The following is a 17,844-nucleotide window of genomic DNA, read 5'->3' on the forward strand; positions in this document are numbered from 1 at the left end:
CAGCTCTCCCACTCTCTCCCCTTTTTCTTTCTCTTTCTCTCTTTCTTCCCCATCCTCCAGAGCTTACTCGTGAGCCTGGGCTGAGGGCAGTAGACCCCAGTTCCCTGCTGTGGGAGACCACGAGAGGGGAGGGTGCAGAGAGGCCCTGCTTCCCGGCCTGGGGCACTGGGGGCTTGGAGGCCTGGGTCAGCTGGAGCAGTGGCAGGCTCTGCCCGGGGCCAAGGCTGCTGGAGCAGGCGGGGAACAGGGCGCACGCACACGTGGGTTGGGCCCTACTCTCTCGGCTGTTTCCCTGGAGACCCCACCAGTGTGGGCCTGGCTGCCCCTGCCCCACTAAATGTCGGGTGTCCCCCACCCCACCCTCTCCTTGCAGGGTGAGGCCGAGTTCAACCGCATCATGAGCCTGGTCGACCCCAACCATAGCGGCCTTGTGACCTTCCAAGCCTTCATCGACTTCATGTCGCGGGAGACCACCGACACGGACACGGCTGACCAGGTCATCGCTTCCTTCAAGGTCTTAGCAGGGGACAAGGTGAGCGAGACCCCTACGAGGTGCATGGGGGCTGGCGAGAGGGGTCCCTGCAGTGGGAGGGGCTGAGGGGGCCAGTGTGTGGGTGGGGATGGCTCAGAGTCCCATCCTGCCTGCCCCAGAACTTCATCACAGCTGAGGAGCTGCGGAGAGAGCTGCCCCCCGACCAGGCCGAGTACTGCATCGCCCGCATGGCGCCATACCAGGGCCCTGACGCCGTGCCCGGTGCCCTCGACTACAAGTCCTTCTCCACGGCCTTGTATGGCGAGAGCGACCTGTGAGGCCCCAGAGACCTGACCCAACACCCCCGACGGCCTCCAGGAGGGGCCTGGGCAGCCCCACAGTCCCATTCCTCCACTCTGTATCTATGCAAAGCACTCTCTGCAGTCCTCCGGGGTGGGTGGGTGGGCAGGGAGGGGCTGGGGCAGGCTCTCTCCTCTCTCTCTTTGTGGGTTGGCCAGGAGGTTCCCCCGACCAGGTTGGGGAGACTTGGGGCCAGCGCTTCTGGTCTGGTAAATATGTATGATGTGTTGTGCTTTTTTAACCAAGGAGGGGCCAGTGGATTCCCACAGCACAACCGGTCCCTTCCATGCCCTGGGATGCCTCACCACACCCAGGTCTCTTCCTTTGCTCTGAGGTCCCTTCAAGGCCTCCCCAATCCAGGCCAAAGCCCCATGTGCCTTGTCCAGGAACTGCCTGGGCCATGCGAGGGGCCAGCAGAGGGCGCCACCACCACCTGACGGCTGGGGACCCACCCAGCCCCTCTCCCCTCTCTGCTCCAGACTCACTTGCCATTGCCAGGAGATGGCCCCAACAAGCACCCCGCTTTTGCAGCAGAGGAGCTGAGTTGGCAGACCGGGCCCCCCTGAACCGCACCCCATCCCACCAGCCCCGGCCTTGCTTTGTCTGGCCTCACGTGTCTCAGATTTTCTAAGAACCAAAAAAAAAAAAGGAAAAAAAACACAAAACAACAAAAACCAAAAAAAAAAAAAATCACAAAAACAAAAAAACTATAAAAAAGAAAGAATTAAAAACTTTCAGAGAATTACTATTTACTTTATTAACTTACGGATTTATTATATAAATATATATTCACCTAGCAACATATCTCTGCCGTCTCTCCTGCTCTCATAATGAAGACATAGCCGATTCTCTGCCCGGGCCCCTTGCTGATGCTCCTCCGGGTCTGCGTCGGGCGTGGGTCTCTGGGGACCCTCCAGAGGTGGAGGTGGGCTGATGGCCTGGCTGCCTGGTGGTTGATGGTTTTGCTCCCCCTACCTTTTTTTTTTGAGTTTATTCTGATTGATTTTTTTTCTTGGTTTCTGGATAAACCACCCTCTGGGGACAGGATAATAAAACATGTAATATTTTTAAGAAGGATTCCTGCAGCATCATCTTTTTTTATTTCTCCTGTGTCTGTCCTCCACCTTCTAGGAGAGCCAGGGCAGAGCTAGCACTGTCTTAAGCTGTCAACGTGGACTAGCTCGTGTCATCTGCTCGAGAAGGGCTGTCGCTGTTCTTGTTTCTGAGTGAGGAGTACGCAGGCCAGAGTGGTCACCCGGCCGTGAGCAGTGAGGGCCAGAGACTAGCCCCAGACAGGTGGATGCCAGAGAGAGTGGCACCCATGCCAGGCAAGGCCTAGGGAGGTGGTCTTGCTCAGCAACCCTGCCCTGAGCAGCAGGTGCGCCCATCCGGAGATCCTAGGAGAAGGTGGCCACCTCCATCCACTAAGGAAGAGAAGGAAGACAGTGGCTTGAGGCAGGGAGCTCGCAGGACAGAGCCTGAGCCACCCTGTCCCTCCCACCTGGCTCACCTGTCTGTGGGTCAGGCAGATGACCCCCTCACCCCCATCCAGGTGCTGGCTGCAGTGGCCTGTGCAGAGAGGGGCAGGGTGAGTGCCCACCAGTCCCCGTACCCCTTCCCCCCATGCCCCACCATGCCGGGGTGGTACTCACAGAAGATGCAGGTGAGGTGGGCCACACAGGACACGAACCGCTCGAAGTCCACACGCAGACGGCTATCCCGGTAGCGGCTGGTGAGGGTCTGGGTCAGCTGGTTGTTCAGGTGGAAGCCTAGGGGGAGGCTGCTTCTGAGCCCAGTGGCCCACAGGGAACCCACCTTGGCATTGCATCCCCACCCCACCTCCTCAGGGAGGACATGAATGCCACAGGGTGTCACACCCCAACTCTGCCCCATCCCGGCAGGGTGAGTACAGGCTGATCCCTTCAATCCTCTGGGCCTGTTTCCTCATCCATCAAACGGACTAAGACAGCCCCGACCCCATAGGGTGTGTGAAGACAGAACGCTCAGGACAGCGTCTGACACGTGACTCGATGTGTGGGTACTGTTACTCCTTAAATCCTGTGGGGCTTTCTCCTTGCCAGTGGGCACTGGAGGATATTTCTGTGCAGCAAAAAATATAGTCAATCCCATATGGAGTCAGTTTCCTTACAGTCTACCTCAGAGGCGATTTCTAAAGCTGAGAAACCATGTCTGCTGTGGAGTCTCATTGGAGGCTTTTAAAAACCCAAAACAATGGGTTCTTGACCCCTTCTGAGATGCAAGGTTGTGCCTGATGACCTTTGTCTCCCACACGGCCAGACAAACCCAGTTCCAAGTACCGTTTCATGGGCTTCTGCTGCTTCCAAAGCCCATCTTCACCCCCATTCTGTGTGTTCATTCTCTTCACAAATATCTACCAAGTAAGTGCCATTTCATGCTGTGCCCAGTGCCAGGTGCTGTTTTAACAGGAGGGCAGGTGGCCTGCAGCCTCTTCCTGCCCGTGTGACCTGCCCCAGGTCACTCCCTCTGGCATTCATCTGCCCTCGGGCATAGGGGTGGAGGCTGCCATGCCCAGGGCTATGGGGAAACCCAGCCAGATGGGGTGGAAGGACCCGAGAAGGCGCTGGAGCCCCTCAGCTGCCACTGCAGGAGTTCCCGTTTGAGAAATTCTCAAGGGCACTTTATCAGTTTCCTTCTTCCTGGAATAACTCCTGGCATGTAACAGGCACTCACTGGTGCCAGATGCGTGAACACAAGCCTGCCACCTGCCACCTGCTGTGAGTCCTTGCTCCCTCACCTCCACTCCTGTCTATCTCCGGCCCAGCCTCTCCCTCTCTGCCCCACGTCTCCCAATCCTTGGCTGTCTCTGACCCCATTTCTCCCCCTTTGACTTGGGCTTTTTCTTTTTTCTTTTTTGAGACGGAGTCTCGCTCTGTTGCCCAGGCTGGAGTACAATGGCATGATCTTGGCTCACTGCAACCTCCACCTCCCGGGTTCAAGAGATTCTCCTGTCTCAGCCTCCCAAGTAGCTGGGATTACAGGCACGCACCACCACGCCTGGCTAATTTTTGTAGTTTTAGTAGAGACGGGGGTTCCGCCATGTTGCCCAGGCTGGTCTTGAACTCCTAGGCTCAAGCAATCTGGCAATCTGCCTGCCTTAGCCTCCCAAAGTGCTGGCATTACAGGCGTGAGCCACCACGCCCGGCTGGCTCTTTTGGACACTTGACCACCTTCTCTGGGTCTCACACTCACAGCCACACCCAAACCCTCTCCCTCTGGCTCTCCGACTCCATCACAGTCACCCCAGCCCCCATCTCCCTGTGGCTCCATCTGCTGTGTGGTGGCAGACAGGCCCCAGAGTGGGGTTGGGGATCTGGGAACTCCAAGTTCTGACCCCAGCCCACTCTCCAAATCCCCTCCACATGAGGGTCACAGTGCTGTACTGTCTCATCTGCCTTGGAGCCCATGGAAAGCCTTTCTCTCTGGCTCTCTTTCTTGGTTAGGATGTTGTGCTGGGCTTGTTCCAGCTCATCAGGAGGAACTCAGCCTAGTAGCAGAGGCCATTGGCCGGCTCTCTTTGGGGCTTTTGGTAATGAAAGCTGCATTCTCCAATCACTAAGTGCTATGCCCTGCAGTGCATGGACGACTCCTCACCACCCTGTGTACTAGCTTTTTTTTTTTTTTTTTGAGAGGCAGGCTCTTGCTCTGTCACCCAGGCACAATCACGGCTCACTGCAGCCTCAGCCTCCCGGGCTCAAGCCATCCTCAAGCCTCAGCCTCCTGAGTAGCTGGGACCATAGGTGTGAGCCACCACACCAGGCCCTGGCCATTTTAGAGAGGAAAATGGAGGCTCAAAGAGATGAAGTCAAGTGCCCAGGGCCCCTCCTGGAGTCAGTAGAGTGAGGATTCCAACCCCGGTGCACCAGAATCCAGAACATTCTACCATGCTGCCCTGGGGGCCAGACCCTCTCAGATACCAGCTCCTAATCTTCCCCTTCCTGGAGGGGCCTCTCCCTGCCCCAGAACCCCTACCAGGCACATCCCCCTTTCATGTCCTCCCCACCCCACACACGCCCCTTGCCCTTCTCCTTCCTTATTTGGCCTCTTTCAGGGTCACCCAACCCCTGCCAGGGACTGGCAACAAGCTAAGGTGTGGGCCTGTGGATGGCCACAGTGCAGACGGCCACAGCTGAGCAGGGGGACTTGGAGACAATGGGATGGGAGAGAACAGGTCCTGTCCCCACGACCACCCCAGGACCCTGTCCACACCTGCTGCATTCAGTGCCAGCCTCAGCTCGTAGGAGTTCATGGTTCCAGAGGTGTCCTCATCGAACTTGTTAAATATGGCCTGGGCAGGAAGGATGAGTCAGGGCTGCCCTCCATGCCCTGAAGAGGGCTGCCAATGGGGCCTCCCAGGCAAGACAGCCTGGTGCCCATCCCAACTCCCTTTCTTCTGGTGTGGACCCCCAGCAAGCAGCCTAGCCACTTGGGACTTCTGTTTCCCAATCTGTAAAATGGGAATAAGAGCAATGACCCAGAGGACAAGCTGAGGCTGGGTGGGGGCAGGGATATCCCAGCCAGATCTCTCCAAGTCAGCCTAGTCCAGTACCCCCTCGTTCCCTGGGGACCTGATAGCCCACAGGGTGCCTATGTCTCTGTTAGTAAAGGTTTCTCTCTTTCTGGGAAGAGGCCCAGTCTCCCACCTCACCTGCCACTCCAGGAGGTAGCCCCAGAGCTGCTGGAAGTGGTGTAAGGCCAGGCTTTGCCCATGCTGTGTTGGGGGTCGGGGGCATCTGGTTAAGGTCAATCTCTCCAGAAGGGGAGGAGAGACCCCAACGTCCCCTTCCCCACTCCCTCCCTCACCCAGGCACTGCCCCCCATGTACCCCGAAACACTGCAGCAGCTGCTCACAGGTCCTGAGCCCGATCTCTCTGGGGGTGGAGGTATGGGCCCTGGCTACAGGAAAAACAAAGTCAAACCACAGCACTTCCTGCATTCTGGCCACCACTTTAAGGGCTGGGTGGATGTGACTCCCTTAAGCAGGTGATGTTGTCAGTCCCATATTATAGAAGCCGAGGCACAGGGAGCCAGTGACTGCTGCGCCTAGCAGAGCTGGGATTCAAATCCAGGCAGGGGGTGCCCAGTCTGTGCTCAAGGCAGCCTTGCCTTTCAGCGGAAGGGGAGCTTGCGAGCAGCCGTGGCCCAGGTCACGGGGCCCACACAAGATCCCCTGCAGGGAGATGCTGCCAGGCTGAGCCCTGGCTTCCTGAGCCCAACTCCCAGCAGCGCGGTGGGTTCATAGACATAGGGTGGCACCGGCTCTGGTTGCAGGACCCCTGGCTAAGACCCCTCCTCCTGCCCCTATCCCAGCCAACTCACCAGGCTCCAGGGCAATGCTTAGTAAGGCCTGGAGCTGAGAGGCATTGAGTTCTTCCTCCTAGTCCAGGAAAGAGGGCTTGTGAGGCCATTTACTCATCCAGCTGCTCTGGGCCAAGCCCTGTGCTAGGGACACGGCAGGGGCTGACAGAGCCTCAGAGCCCTAGCTCCAGGAGTGGGGGAGACAGACCTGTCCCCACAGGGCCAGGGCTGTGACGGGGGAAGCACTGGGCTGTGGTTGCTGGTGGGGGGCCAGCAGACCGGCCTGGGGCAGGGGGGTGGTCAGGGAGAGCTTCCAGGGCTGGGCACCTTAGATGAGACCTGAGCCTGGCTGGAGGTGTCAGGAGGGAGAGGGTGGTCCTGGGAGAGGGTATGGACTGAGCCCAAGGCCCTGAGGCAGGGAGGAGCTGTGAGCATTTCAAGAAAAGGTCAGGAGATTTAAGCCCGGAGGGAGGAAAAAGCAAGCAAAATGAGACACCTGAGATGCTGGGGTGGGGGAAGGGGGGTCCCCAAGGGGAGGCCGCAGCGGGATACCCCCTCAGTCCAATCCCCCTCCTCACCTCTCCAGCCAGCTCCTGAAACAGCTGCTCCAACCCCAGCTCCAGGGGCAGGTAGGGGCCCTGCCGCATGGCGGAAGTTTAGCGCTGGCCAAGATCCCCGCCCCATGCCGCCCCTCCAGGAACAGTCCCCACCTGGAGAGACTGCAGGTCTGCGCTGATCACGTCGTCGATCTCCCTGCAAATTACAGATGGGAAGTGGGGAGGGGGCTGTTTGCCCCAGCTGGGGCTGTGTGGGACGGGGTCTCAGGTGAGGAATCGCGTGGGGTCTAGGTAGGGACCGTGGAGCCCTGGGCTCATCCTCGCGGGGCGGGGGTTCTGGGGGCGGGGCGGGGGTTCTGGGGGCGGGGCGGGGGTTCTGGGGGCGGGGCGGGGGTTCTGGGGGCGGGGCGGGGGTTCTGGGGGCGGGGCGGGGCGGGGGTTCTGGGGGCGGGGCGGGGCGGGGGTTCTGGGGGCGGGGCGGGGGTTCTGGGGGCGGGGCGGGGCGGGGCGGTGGTTCTGCGGGCGGGGCGGGGCGGGGCGGGGCGGGGCGGGGGTTCTGGGGGCGGGGCGGGGCGGGGCGGGGGTTCTGGGGGCGGGGCGGGGCGGGGGTTCTGGGGGCGGGGCGGGGCGGGGCAGGGGTTCTGGGGGCGGGGCAGGTCAGGTCTCGGGGGTCTCGGGGGTCTCGGGGGTCTCGGGGGTCTCGGGGGTCTCGGGGCCTGTCTAGGCAGGGATGGGGTCGGATTTGGGTGCCCGGGGCTCACACGGCCGTGTGGCGGCGCTCGGAGAAGACACGCAGAGTGAAGTCAGCCTCGTCGCCGGCGTGGGCGGTGCTCGGCACCACCAGGTAGTGGCCTGGACGCAGGCAGCAGCGGCGGGTCACGTCGCGGCGGGCGCTGAGGGGCGAGCGGTCGGCGCGCAGCAGCCGGGGCAGGAGCGCATGGCTGCGCGGGGAATCCCAGAGGCCCAGCAGCTGGGGACGGGGCGGCATGACCACGGACCAGGCTCACCCCCGGCCCTTCATCCCCGCACCCTCCAGCGCGCCCCGTCCACCCTGCCTAACCCCTGTCCACGCCTCCCCTGCCCCCGGACCCGGCTCTGCCCCCCCACCCCCAGGGCAGTTTGACCAAGCCCCAGGGCAGGTTGACCAAGCCCCAGGGCAGGTTGACCAAGCCCCAGGGCCGGTTGACCCCATCCCAGACTCACCTCCTCTGGAATCTGAAAGAAGCAAGAGCAAGGGGCGTCGGGGCAGGGGAGAGGTGGCCGCCGCTCAGGGTCTCCTCCCTGCCCCTTCTCACCTCTGTGCTCTCTCCCTCCTTCTTCGTCCTATTAGACCCTTATTGAACCTTTGCCCCGCAGTCCCCGACCCAGGCCCTCGCCGACCCCTCCCCAACTCTTCCTTCCCCATCTGCGCTCCCAGCGCCTTCTCTGTATCCTTGGTCCCCTCTGGCCCTTCTAACCCCCAGCCTCTCTCTGTCCCTAACCTCGTCCCTCTGTCTGTCCCTGAGCCCCTCCCTCTCATTCCCTTAGCTCCCTCTCCCCTCTGAGACCTGGCCCCCCAGCCCTACTAGCCCCCTACTCCCCTCCCAGCGCCGCCCCCTCTTGGCCCTGCTCCTCCACTCCTCCCCTCCTCCCCGATCCTCTTCAGTCCCACCCCTCCACCACTCCCCCTCTTCCCCCTTGGCCCCGCCCTCCACACCTCCCCTCTTCCCACTGGCCCCGCCCCTCCATGCCTCCCCCGCTCCTTGGCCCGGCCCCGCCCCTCCACCCTCCGGGTTCCCTCCAGCCTCAGCTTTGCCCAGGACCTCACCTGGAACACGTGGAAGCCAACGGTGAGGTAAGTGAGGCCCTTGGCTCTCAGGCGCCGCCGGTTGCGCTGGATGAGGGACAGAAGGACCGTGCACTTGGGCGTGCGGCCCCCCCGCGCTGGGCCCCGTGCCCCTGCAGCCCCCCAGCCCCCCCAGGGCCCTTCCTCATCCTCGTCATCCTCCTCATCAGGCTCCAGCAGCGTTAAACGGAACTGAGGATTGGTCCAGAAGGTTTCTAAGGGAGGAGGAAAAAAGGGGGTTTCCTAGCCGGCCACAGCGCCCCCCACCCCAGGAAGCCTCTCAGGGCCCCTCAGGCCTCACCAGCATTAGGCTGGCTCCCGCCGGAGTTGAAGCCACGCACCCAGCGGCCTTGGAAGGTGTGGACGTGCCAGCCGCCCCCCTCCGGGCTGGGGCCCAGCACCTCCGGGCTCAGCGAGCAGATCTGCACGGTGTCGAAATGGAGGAGGAAGTCCCGCAGCTCCATCCTGCACGGTGGCCCAGTCAGACCCTGCCCGGCCCCACCTCGAGGGGGTCCCAAGATCCCGGAAATGACTCCCAGATCCCAAAGCCCCTCACATTTCTTAAATATTGTCAAATACCCTTCAGGCTCCAGAAATGAACCCCAAATGCCTGGGCCTCTAGCTCTGCCAAATTCCTCCAAGTCCTCAGACATGCCCCACAAATCGCCAAGATTCACAAGCTGCCCCCAAATATCGTTAAATTGCCACCAACCCCCAAATAGCAAGACCCTCAGACTCTAAATTACCAACAAGTACCCTTCAGCCCCTCAACATTGCCAAATCTCAAGAAATGCCCCAAATATCACCAAGCCTTCCTCCATTGCCCTAAATACTGCCCATCCCTTTCAATCCTCCACAGATAACTAGGCCTTCAAATTCCCCTCATATTACTACTTTTTTAAACCCACTCCAATCAGAGGTTCTCTAATATTACTACCAATTCTTCCTTGATTTCCCAAAATAGAACCTGGCCCCAAAATTACCACCGATGTACACAGTTTCTCCCTATTAGGACCCATCCTTCAACTGGGGCTCGCCCTCCCTGAACCCCTTGGCAGAGACCCTCCCAGAGGCAGAGCTGGGACCCTGACGAACTGACCAGAACTCGCCATCCTCCTTTTTCACCAGCAGGGCATCGCGGCACTCGGTGGGGAGTGTGTCCCAGCGTGGGCAGCTGGAGAGACTGTGGTGTGAGGGGCGGGCAGGTGGGGTCCAGCCCCACACCCACCCCAGACCCATCCCACCTGTCGCTCCAGGCCCCCGTCCACTCCACGCAGCCCCATGGGTTCCGCAGCCGCAGCAGCCGCACCTTGGTGAAGCCCAGGAACACCTGGGGCAGCATCGTCAGTGGGGGTGATGCCTGGACATGGCCTGCCACCCCACCCATGGGGGACACTTACCTTGTGTGTGCCCGTGATGGAATACGCGTGTCCCTTTACCAGGCCCTCTTCTGTGCGGTACTCACCCCGATCACTCTGGGCAGGGGATGGGATGGTGAGGCCAAGGTAGGGGACAGGAGGGCAGCTGCTCCTCCCTGCCCCCAACCTCCTGCCACCAAGGCAGGAGCCAACCAGAGCACTGAACTGAATGGCACGCAGCTCAGAGACCATGTCAGGGTTAGTGACTGAAGGCGAAAGAGAAAAGGAGAGGAAGGGAGATGGAAACGAGACAAAAGGAGATGGAGGTACGGGCTCACGCCTGTAATCCCAGCACTTAGGGAGGTCGAGGTGGAAGGACTACTTGAGGCCAGGAGTCCAAGACCAGCCTGGGCAACATAGCAAGACCCCAAGTCTACAAAAATTTTAAAAATTCAACAGGCGTGGTGGTGCACACCAGTGGTCCCAGCTACTCTGGAGGCTGAGGCAGGAGGATCCCTTGAGCCCAGAGGTCAAGGCTATAGTGAGCTATGATGACACTACTGCACTCTGGCCTGGGTGACAGAGTGAGATGAGACCCTGCCTCCAAAAACAAAAACAAACAAAATAGATGGAAAGAGGCCTGTTGTGGTGGCTCACACCTGTAATCCCAGCACTTTGGGAGGCCGAGGCGGGCAGATCACAAGGTCAGGAGATTGAGACCATCCTGGCTAACACAGTGAAACCCCATCTCTACTAAAAATACAAAAAACTAGCTGGGCATGGTGGCGGGCGCCTGTAGTCCCAGCTACTCGGGAGGCAAAGCAGGAGAATTGCTTGAACTTGGGTGACAGAGGTTACAGTGAGCCAAGGTCGTGCCACTGCACTCCAGCCTGGGTGACAGAGCAAGATTCCGTCTCAAAAAAAAAAAAAAAAAAAAAAAAGATGGAAAGAGTAGAGAGACAGAGACAGAGACAAAGAAAGATACAGAAGAGAGAAACAGACACAAAAGAAAAAGAGAAGCAGTAACTCAGAGGATTTAAGTAAATGAATGAGTGAAGGAGTTAGACCAACTCAGTGAATGAATGAGTGTGTCATGGGGTCACAGATGAACACATGACCCAAGCTAAGCCCACGAGAATCAATCCTGGGACTTTTACTGAAATTCTCAGAAAGAGGCACTTTTTTTTTTTTTTTTTAAATAAACCCTAGGGTGGTAGGAGATACCTGCAGCTATGGGGGATCCTTTTATGCCCATGAGGGGAGAGCCTGGCTGAGAGTGACACTAACACAGAATGAGAAATAAACATAGTTGCAACACCCTCAGCATCTGGATCCAGCTGTGCCTGAAGCCCCTGATTCATGAGAGCAAATGAATTTATTTTTGACTAGTTAGATTTATGAGCGAGCCTAAGCCAGTAACGGAAGCAGAGAACAGAGGAAGCACTCCGCCCACCCCACCACACCCCTGACTGTGCTCTGGTCCTGGTGGGGGTTCCGCATGCGAGTCCAGGTCTCTTACCAGGGCAGTGGCGCCCACGAGGGACTCCTTGGCCAGGGCATGGCGCAGGGCAGAGAACAGCCCCATGCTGTTTTGTCTCAGATAGAGCACCTCGCCCACGCCGCCTGTGAAATCCACAAAAGCCTCATTCATGTGGCCGCCCCGCATCACCTCATAGGAGCCGTGGAGCCTGTGGGGGCAGATCTGGGGTGAGGGTTGAGGCAAGTACAAGCGTCTCAGGCACCCCTGCCCTGGGATCTGCAGGGGCCTGTGTCTCAGGGTGTGGAATCCCCAGGGGAAATTCCTGAAGTTTTGAGACTTTTTCCAGGGTCACCCTGTGGCCCAGGCCGGAGTGCAGTGGCGTGATCTCATCTCACTGTAGCCTCAAACTCCCGGGTTCAAGCGATCCTCCTCCCACCTCAGCCTCCCGAGGAGCTGGGCCCACAGGTGCACACCACCACACCCAGCTAAAACAATTTCAGACTCTTGGCCAGGCATGGTGGCTCACGCCTGTAATCCCAGCGCTTTGGGAAGCCGAGGCAAGTGGATCACCTGAGGTCAGGAGTTTGAGACCAGCCTGGCCAATACGGTGAAACCCCGTCTCTACTAAAAATACAAAAATTAGCTGGGCGTGGTGGCACATGCCTGTAATCCCAGCTACTCGGGAGGCTGAGGCAGGAGAATCGCTTGAACTCGGGAGGCGAAGGTTGCAGTGAGCCAAGATCACGCCATTGCACTGTAGCCTGGGCAACAAGAGTGAAACTCCATCTCAAAAAAAAAAAAAAAATTCAGACTCTTGACGGGGGGAACTGTGGCACATACAGAAGCCCTTGGAGATTGGGCCTGTGGTCCTTGGGGTGACCAGGACTTCGGTTTGGTGGGGGGCATGGGAGAGCTGTGTTAGAATTCTGAGAGTCCTGGTGCTGTCTGAAACCTTGAACCTCTGGTAGATGTCCGCTTTGGGGGATCATCCCTATGGGGGCTTGTCAGGAATTTCAGAGCCTCAGAATGGGGAAAAGGCAAAGATTTGAGGGTCCCAGGGTGACCCCCAATATTTTGGGGGTGCTTTAGATTTCTCAATGGACCAGGAGAGACAATCTAAGATATACAGCTCACCCGAGGGGATAAATCCCAGATTTGGTGAATCCAGGGCCTGATATATGAGATTTCAGGATCCTTAAGAATTATGAGTGACTGGGGGTCTCCAGGAATGTTTTGTGTGAAATATTGATGGAGAGAGGGGTTTAAGATTTGAAGGTACAGCTGAGCACAGTGGCTCACACCTGTAATCCCAGTACTTTGGGAGGCCAAGGAAGGTGGATCACCTGAGATCAGGAGTTGGAGACCAGCCTGACCAACATGGTGAAACCCCATCTCTACTAAAAATATAAAAATTAGCCAGGCATGGTGGTGCGCTCCTGTAATCCCAGCTAGTCGGGAGGCTGAGACAGGAGAATCGCTGGAACCTGGGAGGCAGAGGTTGCAGTGAGCCAAGATCGCGCTACTGCACTCCAGCCTGGGCGACAGAGTGAGTGAGACTCCGTCTCAAAAAAAAAGAAAAAAAAAAAAAACATGAAGTTGCTCAGGTGATGTTGTGATATGAGGGTTCTGGCGGTTGTCACTTGGTTTGGGATTCTTGGTGGGGTGTTTGGAGGATTGCAGAGCTTGGGGGACTCTGGGTCCCCCTGTGGCTTGATGCCTGCTGTGGGGACTTAGGGCTGCAGCTGGTTGGAACTGGGGTCCTCACTTGGCGTAGGCCTTCTCCAGGAGTGGGGCCCAGAACTCATTCCGCTGTTCCGAGCGCACGAACATCAGCTTCCCCTCACGCACGGGCAGCCTGTCATCCACCACGACGTCCATCCAGCGGCCAAACTGCCAGAGCTGGTGGGAGAAGATGCAGGGCCGGACTCGGCTTCCAACCTCCAACCCTGCCTGGGCCCTGCCTCTGCTGTGCCAGTCCCAGAGTCAGGAATTACAGCCCCAAGTCAACGTTAACTATGAAATCCATATGGCTGGCCGGGTGCGGTGGCTCACATCTGTAATCCCAGCACTTTGGGAGGCCGAGGCGGATGGATCACGAGGTCAGGAATTCGAGACCAGCCTGGCTAAGATGGTGAAATACCATCTCTACTAAAAATAAGAAAAAATTAGCTGGGCATGATGGCGGGTGCCTGTAATCCCAGCTACTCAGGAGGCTGAGGCAGAGAATTGCTTGAACCTGGGGGCGGGGCGAAGGTTGCAGTGAGCCGAGATTGTGCCACTGCACTCCAGCCTGGATGACAGAGTGAGATTCCATCTCAAAAAAAAAAAAAAAGAAAAATCCATATCACCAAGTCACCATGGGGGAAACGGAGGCATGGGCAGAGGAACTGAGCTGTACCTGGAAGTGGAAGACGCCTGCGTAGCCATGCTGGAAATCCTGTCCAGGAGGGACCACCCGGCGCAGGAGCCGGGGATACAGAGTAAGGGAGGCGGCAGCTGCAAGGAACCAGCAGTTACCTGGGAGGAGAGGCCAGGATTAGGTGAGGATGGAAGGAGGGAGGCCTGGTGCGGTGGCTCATGCCTCTAATCCCAGCACTTTGGGAGGCCAAGGCAGAAAGATCACGTGAGCCTAGGAGTTCAAGACCAGCCTGGCCAACATGGCAAGACTCCACTACAAGAAAATTTAAAAATTAGCTGGGCATGGTGGCATGCACCTGTAGTCCCAGCTACTTGGGAGGCTGAGGCAGGAAGATTGCTTGAGTCCAGGAGGTTAAGGCTGCAGTGAGCTATGATGGTGCCACTGTATTCCAGAATGGGTGACAGAGTGAGACCCCATCTCAAAAAAAAAAAAAAAAAAAAAAGGAAGGAAGGAAGGAGGGAGGAGGGAGAGAGAGGCCTAGGGAGAGAAGAGACTGAGGAGGGATCCAGGGGCCGGGAGTGGGTGGACAAAGGGATGGAGCTGTCAGGATCTCAGCTGAAACTAGCTGGATCTGAGGACTCCAGGTGGGTTCAGGGTCTCACCCAGGCTCCCCTGACACACGTCTGTGCGGCTCATGTCTTCACAGATGAACTTCGGCTCAGCACAGAACTCCTGTGGGTGGTGGGGGATTCCAGGCCTCAGCCTGAGAAAGCGAGGAAAGGTCTCATCCAGAGGAGTGAGGGCCTCCAAGCCCATGAAAGGCCTGGAAGCCTGTGGGCAGGAGCATGGCTTCCCTGGGTCTCCAGAAGTTGTGCTGAGCCAGTCCCATGGTAGCCCCCTCCTCCCTCAGACCCGGGAGTCCAGGCCCAGCCCCTCCTCCCTCAGACCCAGGAGTCCATGTCCCGAGCCCCTCCTCCCTCAGACCCAGGAGTCCAGGCCCAGCCCCTCCTCCCTCAGACCCAGGAGTCCAGGTCCCGAGCCCCTCCTCCCTCAGACCCAGGAGTCCAGGCCCAGCCCCTCCTCCCTCAGACCCAGGAGTCCAGGTCCCGAGCCCCTCCTCCCTCAGACCCAAGAATCCAGGTCCCCAGCCCCTCCTCCCTCAGACCCAGGAGTCCAGGTCCAGCCCCTCCTCCCTCAGACCCCGGAGTCCAGGTCCCCAGCCCCCTCTTCCCTCAGACCCAGGTGTCCAGGCCTTGGCCTCTCCTCCCTCAGATCCAGAAGTCCAGGTCCAAGCCCCCTCCTCCCTCAGACCCAGGAGTCCAGGTCCCCAGCCCCTCCTCCCTCAGACCCAAGAGTCCAGGCCCAGCCCTTCCTCCCTCAGACCCAGGAGTCCAGGCCCAGCCCCTCCTCCCTCAGACCTAAGAGTCCAGGTCTCGAGCCCCTCCTCCCTCAGACCAGGGAGTCCAGGCCCCCAGCCTTCCTTCCTCAGACCCAGGAGTCCATGCCTCCAGCCCCTCCTCCCTCAGACCCCAGAGCCCAGACCCCAGCCACACTTTACATGGGGCCTCATCCATTTCACGCCTTTGGCCTTCTCCGAGTCCGGCCCCAGCTGGTCATAGCCAAGGGCATCAGGGCCAGCAGGGAAGTAAGGGTCGCGGAACAGGATCCCCGAATCCAGGCAGGCTGCCCGAATTGCCTCATAGCTCTGGCCCCGAAAAAGCTGCAGGCGCCCGGCTCCGACCCCAGCCTCCTCATCCACGAGCTGGATGGTGACCCTCCCACTGCTGGATGCCATCTGGACACTGGCCTCACAAGCCGGCACCAGGCCCTTTAACCTCCTGAGTCACGGGGGCGGGGCCTCTCTTCCATTGGAGCCCCAGTGGGGTCTTTAGGCAATGAGGAGCCTTCCCTCGTTAATATTAATTGATGGTTTGGGGTGCTGGGGAGCAGGGACGCCTCTTCAGTAGCTTTCTTCCCAGGGCGTGGGGCCTTCAGTTGTGGCCAAGGTAGCAGCTTAATGGGCTTGGCCAGCAGCAGGAGAGAAGGCGGGCAGAGCTGAGGGAGGACCGGCTGCCGCTGTCAGAGCACCAAGAAGGAGGTCAGTGTGGGGGTGAGCTTCTGCCTACTTATGCCTGTGGGGCTGGGGAAGGAGGCGGGTTTACCTCGGTGTCTCTATCTCTCAGACTGCCTCTCTCCCCCTCCCTCTGACAGTTTCTCTCTCCCCGCCTTCATGTTTCTTCTCCATCAGTTTCTGGAGTGCAGTGGCACGATCTCAGCTCACTGCAACCTCCGCCTTCTAGGTTCAAGTGATTCTCCTGCCTCAGCCTCCCAAGTAGCTGGGATTACAGGCTCGTGTCACCATGCCCAGCTAATTTTTGTATTTTTTGTTAGAGAAGGGATTTTACCATGTTGACCAGGCTGGTCTTGAACTCCTGGCCTCAAGCAATCCGCCCACCTTGGCCTCCCAAAGTGCTGGGATTACAGACGTGAGCCACTGTGCCTGGTCAGGTTTTGTTAATTAAAAAAAATTTTTTTTAAAGTAGAGACAGAGGGGTGGCGGGGGGCGGTCCCATATGTTCCCCAGGCTGGTCTTGAACTGCTGGCCTCAAGTGATCCTCCTGCTTCAGCAGCCTCCCAGAGAGCTGGGATTACAGATGTGAGCTACTGTGCCTGGCCCTTTCTTGTTTTTTGTTTCTGGCAATATTTGTGTCTCTGTATTTCCCCAACTCCACCCCTCTCCCCACCCCACCCTCTTTTTTTTTTTTTTTTTTTTTTTGTAGAGATGGGGCGGGGATCTCACTTTGTTGCCCAGACTGGTCTCGAACTCCTGGGCTCAAGTGATCCTCCCCGCTTGGCCTCCCAAAGTGTTGGGATTACAGGCGTGAATCACTATGCCTGTCCCCTCTCTCTTTGTGTCTCTTTCAGCGTGTGTCTGTTCCTCTCTGTACCTGTCAGACCCAGGAGTCCAGGCCCCCAGCCCCTCCTCCTTCAGACCCTGTCAGTGTACCTTGTGTCTGCCTCCCTGTCTCTTCCTCTCCATCTTTCTGTCTGTCCCTGTAACCCATATGTGGCTCCTCCATCATCCACCGAGGGACCCTGAGCTCCCCTCCGCTCACGCCCCCTAAGCCCTCAGGATGCGCCTCCTCCCCTCCCGGACAAGGTAGACTCAGCCTGCTTGCCCAGGGAGGCTGACCCTGGAGGGATGGCTCTGTACCTCTCCTGTGCTGGGAGCCATCTGGTGACCATGATGCCCTGCCCTGGCCCACGCCACTCAGAGTCTGGATGGAGCAGTATTTCCCCCAAAGGACTCTGGAGCCATTGGAGGAAATGGGAGAAACAGGTACGGAGATGCCAGAGCCTCAGCAGTGCTGGTCCCAGCAGACCTTCCACCCTCGTTGAGGGTGTCTGCTGCCCTCCCAGAGCCTTGTCACCTCCACGCCACTCAGATGTCCCTCAAGCCTTTTGGCCTTCTTCCCTCCAAGTGGACCCACAAATATTGTCCAAGCCACCCACGTACACGGCTACCAAAAGTGGGTTACAAAACAGGCTTTCTGGCTGGGCGTGGTGGCTCATGCCTGTAATCCCAGCACTTTGGGAGGCCGAGGCAGGCAGATCACCTGAGGTCAGGAGTTCGAGACCAGCCAGGCCAATGTAGTGAAACTCCGTCTCTACTAAAATACAAAAATTAGCCGGACATAGTTGCGGGCACCTGTAATCCCAGCTACTCAGAAGGCTGAGGCAGGAGAACCGCTTGAATCTGGGAGGCGGAGGTTGCAGTGAGCCGAGATTGTGCCACTGCACTCCAGCCTGGGCAACAGGGCAAGACTGCATCTCAAAAAACCCCCCAAAACAGGGCCGGGCATGGTGGCTCATGCCCGTAATCCCAGCACTTTGGGAGGCTGAGGTGGGCAGAACACTTGAGGCCAGGAGTTCAAGACCAGCCTGGCCAACATGGTGAAACACCATCTCTATTAAAAATACAAAAATTAGGCTGGACGCGGTAGTTTACTACGCCTGTAATCCCAGCACTTTGGGAGGCCGAGACGGGCGGGTCAGGAGTTCCAGACCAGCCTGGCCAACATGGTGAAACCCCATC

General features: G+C 58.5%; 2 protein-coding genes and 1 long non-coding RNA gene across 27 annotated transcripts in view, besides 4 other annotated features; 2 read left to right on the top strand and 1 right to left on the bottom strand.

Annotated features, from left to right (window-relative positions):
• The window catches only part of ACTN4 (actinin alpha 4), an 83,941-nt gene extending 80,974 nt beyond the window's left edge, over positions 1–2,967 (top strand). For 4 of the 7 annotated variants that reach the window (NM_001440296.1, NM_001440298.1, NM_001440300.1 and 1 more), the window contains 2 exons: positions 374–532; positions 652–1,909. In NM_001440296.1, coding sequence (NP_001427225.1) covers positions 374–532; positions 652–810 — 318 coding nt within the window. In that variant the 3' untranslated portion in view covers positions 811–1,909. Of the gene's footprint in view, positions 1–373; positions 533–651 lie in introns of all 7 variants that reach the window. The other 3 variants (NM_004924.6, NM_001411143.1, NM_001322033.2) reach the window with 1 other exon arrangement.
• On the bottom strand, positions 1,570–16,071 carry CAPN12 (calpain 12). 19 transcript variants are annotated; one of them, XM_047438237.1, is made up of 22 exons: positions 15,911–16,071; positions 15,307–15,824; positions 14,411–14,480; positions 13,788–13,906; positions 13,155–13,288; positions 11,429–11,597; positions 9,952–10,026; positions 9,796–9,881; positions 9,651–9,725; positions 8,853–9,016; positions 8,534–8,766; positions 7,930–7,941; positions 7,488–7,696; positions 6,880–6,922; positions 6,748–6,807; positions 6,191–6,248; positions 5,697–5,767; positions 5,520–5,582; positions 5,081–5,159; positions 2,485–2,601; positions 2,343–2,401; positions 1,570–2,256 (listed from the first exon to the last, which is right to left on the bottom strand). In XM_047438237.1, exons 2-22 carry the CDS (start codon positions 15,541–15,543, stop codon positions 2,230–2,232), a joined length of 2,160 nt encoding a protein of 719 aa, XP_047294193.1. In that variant the 5' UTR covers positions 15,544–15,824; positions 15,911–16,071; the 3' UTR covers positions 1,570–2,229. The 19 variants fall into 19 exon arrangements, 17 of the variants coding, with proteins under 17 accessions (XP_047294193.1, NP_653292.2, XP_047294194.1 ...); NM_144691.4 differs by lacking the exon at positions 15,911–16,071 and having other exon boundaries at positions 15,307–15,852; XM_047438238.1 differs by lacking the exon at positions 15,911–16,071 and having other exon boundaries at positions 14,411–14,511; positions 15,307–15,852.
• Positions 5,526–5,575: an enhancer, noted in NCBI's record as "active region_14592". NCBI's record gives its function as "activates an Ori minimal core promoter by ATAC-STARR-seq in GM12878 lymphoblastoid cells {active_cell/tissue: GM12878}" and the evidence as "EXISTENCE:reporter gene assay evidence [ECO:0000049][PMID:35858748]".
• LOC124904711 (uncharacterized) lies at positions 7,605–11,232 on the top strand. The gene is made up of 2 exons (XR_007067251.1): positions 7,605–8,560; positions 8,722–11,232. It is a non-coding gene; the product is annotated as an uncharacterized LOC124904711 (long non-coding RNA).
• Positions 7,635–7,784: a silencer, noted in NCBI's record as "silent region_10581". NCBI's record gives its function as "represses an Ori minimal core promoter by ATAC-STARR-seq in GM12878 lymphoblastoid cells {active_cell/tissue: GM12878}" and the evidence as "EXISTENCE:reporter gene assay evidence [ECO:0000049][PMID:35858748]".
• Positions 8,532–8,581: a silencer, noted in NCBI's record as "silent region_10582". NCBI's record gives its function as "represses an Ori minimal core promoter by ATAC-STARR-seq in GM12878 lymphoblastoid cells {active_cell/tissue: GM12878}" and the evidence as "EXISTENCE:reporter gene assay evidence [ECO:0000049][PMID:35858748]".
• Positions 9,002–9,061: an enhancer, noted in NCBI's record as "active region_14593". NCBI's record gives its function as "activates an Ori minimal core promoter by ATAC-STARR-seq in GM12878 lymphoblastoid cells {active_cell/tissue: GM12878}" and the evidence as "EXISTENCE:reporter gene assay evidence [ECO:0000049][PMID:35858748]".
• Positions 16,072–17,844: the final 1,773 nt, after the last annotated feature.

This window comes from Homo sapiens, chromosome 19 (assembly GCF_000001405.40).
Source record: "Homo sapiens chromosome 19, GRCh38.p14 Primary Assembly".
Classification (NCBI taxonomy): domain Eukaryota; kingdom Metazoa; phylum Chordata; class Mammalia; order Primates; family Hominidae; genus Homo; species Homo sapiens.

Excerpts from the sequence above, each read along its gene's own strand:
- CAPN12 (XM_047438237.1), bottom strand. The coding sequence starts at position 15,543 with ATGGCATCCAGCAGTGGGAGGGTCACCATCCAGCTCGTGGATGAGGAG. Across the intron at positions 11,598-13,154 it reads CTGGAGAAGGCCTACGCCAA|GCTCCACGGCTCCTATGAGG; the intron begins GTGAGGACCCCA and ends CTGCCCCCACAG. Across the intron at positions 2,602-5,080 it reads GCTGGCACTGAATGCAGCAG|GCTTCCACCTGAACAACCAG; the intron begins GTGTGGACAGGG and ends GCCTCCCCCTAG.